Below are 12,054 nucleotides of genomic sequence, written 5' to 3'. Positions count from 1 at the left end.
AACTCTGACTGTGAAGACAACTTCATTTTATTTAATAGATAATGCTTACTCTGTGCAGATACTACTTTAGGTGCTTTACAAATATTTACTCATTTAATCCTTAACGGCTGCCCAGTTTTTTTCTGGTTTAGCCCCTAAAGAGAAGCTAAAATATCTGTAATACCTCATCTGTATAGCAACCTTCAAATACTTGGAAGGCAACCACCAGGCTCACAAGGGTCTACACTTTTTCAAATTAAAGGATCCCAGTTCACTCAGTTGTTCCACATGCTGCACAGTTGTGAGTTATTTCGTATCCTGACCACTCTCCTTTGAATGTCCTTTTATTTTGTAATGACTCAGAGATTCTGGCTCACAGATGTGTTTTGCTTGACACAATATCTATTTTATTTGTTTTGTTTTTACATCCAAAAGTAAAAACAAAAGGAATTTGACTATCTTTCTGCTGGGCACACCCTCTCCAGCTTCAAGGTTTCATCAGTGCTTACTGTCTTTGTCCCGCTTTCACTCAACTTGGTCCCCAAAGGTGTCTATGTTTAAGACCCCTGCTAAAGTGTCATATTCAGAACTGAACCTAGATGCAATCTAGCCAGTCACATTCTGATCGAGGAGGGCCTTCATGCTATGATGATAGCAATACTGCAAATTCAGATTTGTGTATTTCAGCACATTTCCTTACAATGCATTTTTAACCCATGAGTCAGCCTCTGAAACTGGATTTAATCACTTTACCTTCAAAATAAAGAATCCACTTGCACCAAGGCATTACTGAAGAGTGTATAGTTTATTGACAGTTTAGAATTGGAGGAAAAAGAGAGGGTTTGTAGAACACAGCATTTCCCTCCAAGTTTCTTTTCTTAGCCTTATAGCTCTTGGGTCTTCTTCTCTACTTTCTTATCTGCTTTTTCACCGCTACCACTTAGCTGTAATGGTTCCTGCTTCCCTTCCCAGAATCCTGTCTCTGGGGCTTCTCAATCTCTTTCCCTTAATTACGCAGTCTTGGCCCAGCTGTGCCAAACCTAGTGGTCACACTTGTCATTCCCTTGGCTAACAACAGACCCTCCACTTACTAAGACCTATTTCATAGAAGTCAGTGAGTGATTGCATAACCAAAACATATTGTTTTTGTATCACAATAAAATCAATTGTGTTAGAGCTAAGCAACATATCTGACAGGAAGGTCACATTCATTAATGAAGATAACACAGCTAATTATAGAAAGGTAGGCAAAGAACCCAGCACTGGGGGTTCCAGATCTGTATATATAGCATTGCTTTATATACAATATTACTAGAAACTGTATTTGTTCACGAGCTGTCACTAATTGTAAGTACAGTAAGTCTTGGTGATATTTTAGATTTTATTTCATGTACACCAAAGTGGATAACTGAATTTTAAATAAGCCCAATTAAAATTGAGAAAGTTCTAGAAAATGGCTCAGATTGCTCTAATTCCCTGTATGAATCTTGCCATGTCTTTCATCATGTCTTGGCTGGTTTGGTGTCCTGTAATGGTGACAGTTTTGTTTTTCCTTTTCTTAGTCTTATTTTGTCACTCTTCCTTCACCTTGCACATACACTATAGTTGCTGCATATCAGATTATAGCTAAAAGGCTGCTGTATTTCTTTCCCTTCTGAGTTTTGGCATAAAGTATGTTTTGAATCTCCTGATACAGGGAATTTTGCAAAAGGTAAAAAATTGTGAAGTGAGCATTTCCAACTACGCTAACATTGGAATCTAATGCAGCACTATTACAGAATGATGGGATTTTAGAGTTGGAAGGACCTTATCACTCATCTCATCTGATCCTCCCCTACATTTAACCATGAGGAGATTTAGGCGTGAAAAGGTCAGTCTTTTACTGAGAGTCGTAGAGCCATTTAGTTTCAGAACCAAGAATAGAACTCAGCTGTCCTAACCCTAGTCTAGTTGCGCAACTCCACACAGCTTTCATGTAAAAGCAAATAAACAAAATGGCCTATTTCTCAGCATTGTTTTGTTTTTATTGATAGCAAAGGGGATCATGTGCTACTTACAGTAATCTCTAAAAATTTTATAATAATCCTTGCATTATCCTGTTAAACTGTTGCTGTAGCTCTGTGCTTAATAGATTGAAATCTATTATTCATAATGCCATCTTGTTCCTGTTCAAATAACATTATCCTTATGACTAAAATTTTATGGAGCCATACTTGATTTCTTAGTGGAGTGAGATGATACATCATTAGAGAAAAGAGTTTTCATTTGTGAATACGATTCAATAGATATTTTTCAAGCACCACTCTGAGTGTGGCATTATTGTTGGCACTTTTTTGGATGCAGAGGCAACATATGGCATGCCTTTTAGCCTCAGATAACTGATACTCTGCTGTGTGCTTCTGAGTGTCCAGAAGCATCTGAAGCAAAACAGTGCTGCGCCTAAGGAGATGGTATAGGGTGGTGGCTCAGGTCACGCTGGGTTTGCATCCTGGTTCTGTTGTTTAGCAGCTGTGTTATCTTGGGCAAGCAACTGTAGTCAAGCCTTAGTGTCCACATCTGGGGACAAAAATGCACTAACTTCATATAGTTATTTCAAAAATTCTGATAAAAGACAAGACAGAAATCATTTGGCACATCCCCAACACGTAGTGCTCAAAAATGTTAGCTAATGTTTAAAATCTTTATCACCTTAAGTCAGTGAACTCTCTATCAAAGAACAGTGTAGAGCAAAGCCAATTATCTCGCTACATTTAGGAAAAGAAAACTTTGGCTTTGGATAGATTTCATTGATTGGCTGACTACTGGTTGATTGATCTAGGTGTGCTTGTGCTTGTGCGGCTCAGTGGAGTGCATTTGCCCATGCAGTAATCTCAAGCTTGGAAAAAGAATTCTAAGGATAAAGTTGGGAATAGCAATCGCTTCAGTGGGGTGATATCTTTAATTTAATTTTGCATTATTTGTTTTCATGAGAAATACCCTCCAGATAGAAGTCTCCCTCCCTTTGATTGTCAGTTTTTATTAGTCACCTCAGATTCTTAGACAAAGGCCTCCTGATTGGATGTCAATTACTTGGGTTCTCATCCTTTCTTATCTCTAACTCACTCTGTTGTTGCTAATAAATTAGCCCCTCAGAGGAAACATTTGAGCCAAATGGTACAAACTATCTTGGAAAACTTGAAGTATTTTGTTTGGTGATCTAAAATAATCAAATGAACTGACTAATTACTTGCCAATTATTTTCTTTCTTGTGGTTCTTAATTTATATATATATAAAAAGTAATTTATATATATTAGTAATTTATATATTCATTTTCCCTGTTTAATAAAAAAGATATGTATAATATATAATAAATATGCTGTGTATTCATAAAAGAGTATATAAATATACATATATTGTTTTAATATATATTTTATACATATTTGTATTATATATTTTATATATATATAATTTTTATTAAACAGGGAAAACTAAATATGGGCAAGGAAAATGACCTTAATACATCTGTATAGTCTGAAAAAATAAATTATGGCTAATTTAAAATGAAAGGTTTCTTAAACAATTTTGCAGTCAGGCTATTAATAATCATTTTCGCAAAGTGGACAACATATACCAGGAATATTAGAGATTCATGAATTGCTGTCAGTTTGAATTTGTATATATTTCCTCATCACTAAAAATACTGTGATCTAGTATGCAGAGGAAAAAAGGGTCCTGGAAAATAATAGTGTTGTTAAATGTTTTTGTAAGACAATTTCTAGGTGTGAAAAGTTAATTAGTGATATAAAATACATATTTGGATAATTAATACCAGTGAAGACTAGACACTTGTTGCCTAAAACAATGAAGATACTTTTTTTATAGAGTCATCTAGATGCTTATATCCATTTTCCAACTCAGTTTGCGTGTCTAGACAGAGCTTCTTTTAAAAAATTGTTCAAATACAAGAAAATTCTCATAGTAAAATACTTGAGAATTTGAAAGGCTGAGAAAAAATCATGATTCCAATGTATTATATTAAAGTTGAAATCTGAGACTTGTGAATTAACATCACGCAATGTTTTAAAATATGAGAAAATATGCACTAGAATCAAGAATAACCCTAAATCCAACTAAGAAAAGAAAAATCACTTCCCTGTGAAAAAAACCATTCTCACAAGTCCTCATGTCCCTCCACTCCTGACTTTATAGTCATACAGATAGTTCCAAAGCCAGCAAATATTGCATTTTCTACACTTTTCCATCATGTAATCATTTTACAAAACATCCAAACCAGTACAGCTCTTTTAAATTGTAGCCTCTCCTCTCTTTGTGTATCACCAATTCTTTTTATTAATTCATGGGGATGAATGCAAAATAAATACAGTTCTTTGGGTGAGTCCAGCTTACCCACAGCGCGTGCTGCCCTCTCACACCACTCGCCGCTTTGTTGCTCTTTCTCTCAGTTCTTTCCAACATGCCCCTGGGTCTCATGAGACGACCCAAGAGCGTACTGCATACTTGGATAGGATTAAGAAAAGAAAGAAAACAGAACGGTGCCCAGCAGCATTTATACCAAGGTGCAGTGCCCTTCCTGGCACACAATGTGAGAAGAGAGCAGTCAACCATGCAAGGTAAACAGCAACCAGCCTAGTGCAACTAACTAAAGGTAGTGAAAAGCCCACTGAAGCACAGAGCTGAGTTTAGAATATTTACACCAACGCTCCTCTATTTTACTGATAAGGAACCTGAAATTGAGCCATAAATTTATTTATGATTTTAAAAAAACCTGGAACTATGATCCGTGAAATATTCTTTATAGTTTGTTTTGAACTATTTTAGAAATGTTGGTGGAGGGATGACAAAAATTAAAATACAGACAGAAATGAGAGAGGCTTAATTCTGAAAGAAGTGTTCTAGCTTATTCATCTTGTTTTACAGATTTAAAAAACCCCAGGCCCAGAGAATTGCAGCTCCTATCCTTGTATTGTAGCCATGCAGAGGAGACCCACTGATCTTGTTACTACACACACAGCTCCTTTTTAATTACTTAAAATAAGTCCTGTGACAGCTTGCAGGATCTATCCTGCTGATTCTGTAGGATTGCAAGTTTTCCTTTTGCCTTTCATTGGATTTCAAACAATGTATTGAGTGTGGCAACTGAATTATTACAGTCAGTTATCTGTGTATTGTATGGGCAATTTAAAATTGACTTGGGTTAAAATGGGAAACTTCACACTAGTCATAAGAAACTCTTCAGAGATGCAGCAATTCAATCTGGTTCACATAATAACAGCAATAAAGAAGAAATTGCACATAGTTTTTTTTTCTCTCTTGCAAAGAGCTAAAACCAATTTACAGATTTTCTTATTAATCCTCCCAAAAGAACGACAGCCATTTTGCTAACCAGGAACCTCACAGCAGAGGTCAGGAGGCCAAGTGTGTGCAGGAGCTGAAGGCACTGGTGTGGGGCTCCAAGGTTTCGTTTCAATGTCTCTTGGTGTTGCTAACTTGCTGTTTGATGGTGGTCAAATCACAGAATGTCTCTGAACCCTAGTTTACTCATAATTTAAATGGTGGGTGAGATAATCTCCAAGATACCATCAAGGATGAATTCTCACTGATTTCACAGAGATCTCAATGCACTGCTTAGATTTCCTTATTCTTGATACCTTTACTTAAAGCCTTCACTAAAGCTCTATTAACGTTACTATTCTTCTATCTGTTCCCCAATTATAATATTTCTTTTTCTCTTTTTCATAAGAGTAACAAGAAACACAGTAATGCCCTTTCTTTGTAAAGGCATGGCCAACGAATAAGGGTAGAGAGAATAAAGCAGTAATTGGACAGTTACCTTGTTTATCTCTGTGGAAATCTTAATAGTTATTCGGAATGCTTTAAATTTCTTTAATGGCCCAGTCTTACTTTTGCACCCTCAATGTAAGCATCTCACCTTCTACTTTCTCAGTTCGAAGCCATTCATCAGGAGTCCTTTCAAAGTCTTTCTAAATGTTTCCGCTCTTAATTCATCCTTTTCTTACTCCGCCACCCCGGTACTATACTACCCTCATCTCAGAGGAAAAAGAGAGCCTTTGTCATCCCAAAATAACCATCTATAGTGGTCTTAATCCAATGTCCAGTTCTTCTAAGTAAGTGACTCTCATACCTAGATACAGATTTGAATCACCTGGGAAAACTAGTAAATAATCCTGATCAGAATCAGGACCAGGTGTTAGTATTATAATAAGGGTCCTAAGTGAGTTTTATGTTAAGAAAGGGTTGATAACCAGTGCTGTGGAGGTCTTGATTGATTAATTAATCCTTGTTTATTCTTCAGCTTTAATCCATTTTACTGGCTCCTTCCCTCAAACCTGCAAATGTGTTTAGGCTATTATTATCCTAATAAAACACCTTCCCTTGTCCCTCAAGCTACGATTCTATGCATCCTCCTCTCTCCCACTTTATCTTCTCAATGGTTCTGCTCCTTGTTAGCCCTGAAACAGCTTTCTATGCAGTCACCTCATGGCATACACAGTCCCTTATGCTTCATGCTACTCAGGCTCTCTTTAGGGCCTGACATTCCCAATCACCCTTGCCACTGTAAAATTCGCTCTTCCTTTGGCCTCTGTGATTCTGCATTCTCCTGGTTTCCTTCCCAGTTGCACAAAGTTTCCTTTAAAAGTATGTGTCGGCAGGGCGAGGTGGCTTACACCTGTAATCCCAGCACTTTGGGAGGCCGAGGTGGGTGGATCACGAGGTCAGCAGTTCAAGACCACTCTGACCAACATGGTGAAACCCCATCTCTACTAAAAATACAAAAAAATTAGCTGGGCGTGGTGGCAGGCGCCTGTAATCCCAGCTACTTGGGAGGCTGAGGCAGGAGAATTGCTTGAAACCGGAAGGCGGAGGTTGCAGCAAGCCAAGATTGTGCCATTGCACTCTAGCCTGGTCAATAAGAGCAAAACTCCATCTCAGAAAAACAACAACAAAAAAACCCAACTATGTGTTCTATGAGTCTCCAAAGCATAGCTGCTTCTTACTGTTCTACACTAGTTGCCATTAAATTATTGATTTATTCTCTACCCTAAAATGATTGCTTAAGTTTAAATGACCACATCCATGAAAATGACTCTGGAATCTGCATCTCTTCCCTGAGTTGTAAATTATACTTCACCAGGATATATCCTCATCTGGATGTTCTTCCTCCACCTCAAACTCAACCTGAGTTTATCATCTTCTACTGATTTCACCCCTTCTCTGTGACGTCCTGCTGAACTTCAGTCAGCACTGTCCTTCCAGTTTTCTGGGCTTCTAAATTCTGGTTATCTTTCACTCTTCTTTTTCCTATTTACTCTCCATATCCTATGCATCCCAAGTTGTGTCTGTTTTGCTTTTGAAATTTTGAGGTGTCTATTTCCTTCTTATTTCTAATTCTTATTCGAGCCTTTGTTTAAGACACAGATCAAATATGCAGCCTTCCATGATGGCATCCCCAACTCCTGATCAAAATTAGCTTTCCCCTCTTTGGTGATCCCAAAGTGCTTTGTGAGTCTAGTATAACAGTGAGCACATTCTACTTTCTAATATAGCACCATATGTATAGTCTCCACCACTTAGGTTAGACCCTCAATGTCAGAGATGATATGCTTTCTTGGATGTAGTTAGTATCAAGGATGAGGGACTTACAATCTATCTGAGTAAACAAAAATACCTCCCCATTCTTTCTCACCCTGGGCCTCCTCCCCACAAACTGCAATACAGTGGAAATGGCTATTCACCATAAAGTGAATAATGACAATAGGGCTTTGTAAACATAGCCCATGCTTTTATAACAACGGCTAGTTTTGATTGCTCACCCATCATATGAGCACATGTGTTATATATGTCATTTCATTCAAACTTCCCAAAAGACCTGCAAGATAAATATTATGAGCACCCATTTTATAGATGTAGAAACTGATGCTCAAAACATTAAGTAACTTGCCCAAGATGACACAGCTAGTAATGAGAGGACAAGGTCCAAATCCCAGGTGTGAAAGCCCACGCTCTTAACTTCATGTGATTCCATTAGACTAAATTGGGTGTTGTGTCATACAACAGGAGCTGGCGGCACAGGGAAGAAAATTTTTTGCTTGGGGAAGGTTTGTGGACAATGAAGAGTTATTTTATTGAGAAAGAGTAAGATGTTCTGTTCAGTCTTTCTTTTGACTCTCATTGTTCTTGGAACTTCCCAGTTGCAGAGTCCACCTGAGCAGCAGGTAGCATGGGGGCTTACCATGTGTGAGAGGACACTCTTCTAACATACCAGCTCCTCTGATCTGTCAGACCACCATTTCTATCACCTCTCTTTTCATCCTGAAGGCATCAACTTTAAGTAATTCTAATTTAAATGACAAGAACATTGGTCTTGGTCATATGTTCTTATCAGCTACCTGCTAAGGAAGGATTAGTTTGACAGCCTTGTGAAGTCCTCTCTAGACAACCTCTATCCATAATAAAGTCACTTGCAGAGAGCAGAGACCCATGTCCTTACAAAAGACCCATATGCTTTTGAAAACCAAGACATTGCTTTCTTTTGAATAGTAATCAGTACTAATTTGCAAGCAACTTGAGAGTAAGGGAACATGTCTTCCAGTCTGTTTATCAACCCTAGTTTCTTACTAGCCTACTGACTTCTGAGTGTAAATTATACTTATTTCATAGAAATAATGCAAACTTGAGTTCTTTATTTTTGAGAGGAAGGAAAAGCATAAGTGCTTTTTTTTCTGAAAGGGGCCTGAGAATTGATTGTTAAAAAGAATTGAATTAAATTAATTTGCAAGTTGGGTCACTTGTTCTACATCAGAAAGAAAGAAAGGAATTGACATTTCTAATAAGGTTCTAGGTGACACTGGTAAGAGAAACAAATATTTTTTTCTTTAAACAATACATGTTTATGAACTCTCTAAATATCACTGTGATTTGAAGTTCAATTCTGTAACACCAGATGACAATAGGCATGGTTCTTTGGTACCAATTGTAGTTTCGAGATTTGACTCCAATAAATATTTCAGGCTTGAATTCTTATTAAAAGTTGATTCAAATTTATCTACAACCATATCCTCTGAAGGTTATTATTTTACCTGCATAGTGGTTTGAAATTTTATTGCGATGGGGATAAAGTATATAACTCTGGAATCAGGATTGGATCAACTGAATTTGAATTAGGCCTTAACACTTGTTAACTGTAACTTTGAAGAAGTTGAAGGTCTTTTCTGTGCCTCATTTTCCTCATCTGAGAAACAGATATTAAAAAAAAAACCTACCTCATAGCTTTATCATCAGCATGAGATGAGATAATCATGTAAGCATAACACCTGACACATAATAGGTAATCAATAAATGTTAGCTATTAATAATTTTAATAGTTTTTGTTAAAACAATCTGGCTGTGGTATATTTCTTTTCAATGGTTTTGTCTAATTATTTGCATTTTTCTTTTCTCTGCTTACCTTCATTCCTTCTTTTATTTTTAGGAAAACCGATATGAACAATCCTCCAGTACTATAGAATCTCTGGCTGGGTGCGGTGGCTCAAACCTGTAATCCCAGCACTTTGGGAGACCAAGACAGGCAGATCCCTTGAGGTTGGGAGTTTGAGAACAGCCTGGCCAACATGGTGAAACCCCATCTCTACTAAAAATACAAAAATTATCTGGGTGTGATAGCATGCGCGCCCATAATCTCTGCTCCCTGGGAGTGATGAGGCAAGAGAATCACTTGAAACCAGGAGACGAAATGAAGGTTGCCGTGAGCTGAGGTGGTGCCACTGCACTCCAGCCTGGGCCACAGAGGGAGACTGTCAAAAAAAAAAAAAAAAGGAATCTCTCTGAAGCTGATCAGAGAATGCTCAGTGCTGAGTGACATTCCTCAGCCAAAAACTCTCTTTCTGTGTCTGGGTCACAATTCCCATCATTTCTTGCATTTGAGTGGTTTGTCCATGCCTTTTAATTTTGTTTTCAGTGGGCATTGTTAAAAGTCTGTGTTGGCCAATTTTCAGTTCATTTTTCAAAAGTTGGAATCAAATCTTATAAACATATCCAGATTAAGACTAGCCACAAACCAGGATTTCAGGTTCTTTTCTAGCATGGTGCCAGATTGTACTTAGGTAGGATAATAAGGGAAATCTGTTTCCTTCCTCACATTTTATGTATCTGTCATAAATCTTAACTGACTTTAGATGAACTGCAATTTAGAAGTTCAAGTTTCAGGTGAAGGTTCGGGTGAAATTTCATTTTAATGTTTTATTAAAATTGATTTTCTTTTGTGATTATGAATGAATGCAATATCACTGCAGAGGAAGCATGTTGACAAGCAGTGACAAAAATCCAGCTAAGATAACAACATAGGGCAGTTGTTTTCTGCTTATCTTTATTGTAGAACTACCAGTAAGAAACGCTTAGGTGTTATTAGGCCTTCGAAACACGAGTAACATCAAACTCTGCACTAGTTAGCAAAGAAGAGAGAAATCTAAGCATCATTATGGGGGCTGTCAGAAGTGACTATGGTATTTATTCACAAATCTAGTGGACTACTGAGGCTTAAAATATGTGACTTATTAGGACATTGCTTTTGAATACTAATTATAATAATTTTAGAATAATAGATTGTTTGAATTCCTATAATTTAGAGAAAAGCAAAAGCAAGGATACTTATTATATTTGCTTGAGTTAAAACAGTTACAAATATATATTTAACAAACTAATAGAGATGGAAAGAACTATGGTCTAAATTCTACCTAGTTTGGGAAAAGGTGATTTTATAGAAAAGCAGCCCCATGCATCATATTAATGAGCTCAAGGCTGATTTTGGGGAAATGAGACAGAAAGGAAATAAAGCTTATAGTACCATTGATATACAGTTATGGAAATTATTAGGTAAATAAAATAGAGGCATAATAGTATTTTGTCTGAAATGGGTTGTCAAACTGAATTGTCTTAGGATGGTGGCAAAAGAATAGAATATTTTGGGGGGGGGTTTAATTCAAAAAATAAAACTGCAGAAAAATAGAGAAACAATTTGATATGTTAAGAAAAGAATAGGAAATCTGTTATGAAACATTTTCCTTCTTTGCTGGACTCTTCTTTCTCTTTCGCAACTCCTCAGTGTGGGAGTTTGTGGTGGGAGTGCTGTTACATCATTCTTCCACAGTCGACATTTAGAATCGTATCTGTAAACCTTGGTCAGCGTCTGGATGGGGACCAGCCATGCATTACCTTGTGCATATACAAAGGGAATTCTAAGATAGATTTTGATCCACAGGAAAGCAGATTGCCTGGGTTAGCTGCCCCAGACGTTTGTGTGTGAGTCATATGCTTTCTTCTGGGTTCCGGAGCTCTGGGTGTGGCAGCTCTGGGTTCCGGAGCTCTGGGTCCTCTTAGGACCTCACAGTCCAGACCTGCACACCTGGGGCTTGTGCACACTGGTACCTAGGGAGAAAGTGTGTCAAATGGCCAGCAGGTGTCAAATGGGATATCTGAAGGTCTGTCAGTCTGGCAGGCTTCAGCTTGAATATTGGCTTTGCCATCTACAAGTTGTGTACCTTGGGCAAGCTGATCATGCTTTCTGAGCGAGAGATTTCTCAAGTGCACGATAGGGATTTTAGGACTCTTCTGAACTTTAAATGACAGAATGCAGGTAAAATGCCTAGTACAATCCTTGCACTTAATAAGGGCTCACAAGCTATAACTGATATTATTGTGTAAACTGTCTGCCATCTACAAAATGCTCAATAAATGTTGTGCAACATTGTGGATATTTTTAAGGACTTGTTAGCAGTGGCCCCCTTAGAATAAACAACTATTTCTCCAAGGATTTTCCCTCCAAATCCTCTCTGAAAATGCACATGTCTTAGTGAAGAAGGTTCGAAAGGCCGAAGTGATGGGTTCATAGTTAGGTCAGGCAGTGTGGCCTGCAGTTTACATTAGAAGAGCTGGTGGAAAGCCTGGCTCTGCCATTACTTGTCATGGGACTTGGGATAGGACTTTCAATGCTTTTTAACTTCAGTTTTTCTGTCCTAAATGGGGATGGTGATGCTCACCACACAGAGTTGTGAGAATAA

General features: G+C 37.7%; 1 protein-coding gene and 1 long non-coding RNA gene across 6 annotated transcripts in view; one reads left to right on the top strand and one right to left on the bottom strand.

Annotated features, from left to right (window-relative positions):
• Positions 1-12,054, top strand: part of KCNMB2-AS1 (KCNMB2 antisense RNA 1) — a 334,939-nt gene that overhangs the window by 297,055 nt on the left and 25,830 nt on the right. The window lies entirely within an intron of this gene.
• The window catches only part of KCNMB2 (potassium calcium-activated channel subfamily M regulatory beta subunit 2), a 307,994-nt gene that overhangs the window by 281,079 nt on the left and 14,861 nt on the right, over positions 1-12,054 (bottom strand). For 2 of the 4 annotated variants that reach the window (NM_005832.5, NM_001278911.2), the window contains exon 1: positions 4,367-4,501. The exons of the other annotated variants lie outside the window; for them this stretch is intronic. The gene's annotated coding sequence lies outside the window, so the exon portion shown is untranslated. Of the gene's footprint in view, positions 1-4,366; positions 4,502-12,054 lie in introns of those variants that run through there. 4 annotated transcript variants of the gene reach the window in all.

The sequence above is a fragment of the Homo sapiens genome, chromosome 3 (assembly GCF_000001405.40).
Source record: "Homo sapiens chromosome 3, GRCh38.p14 Primary Assembly".
Classification (NCBI taxonomy): domain Eukaryota; kingdom Metazoa; phylum Chordata; class Mammalia; order Primates; family Hominidae; genus Homo; species Homo sapiens.
The sequence above is the reverse complement of the archived record's forward strand: the minus strand, read 5'-3'. Positions and strand labels throughout refer to the sequence as shown.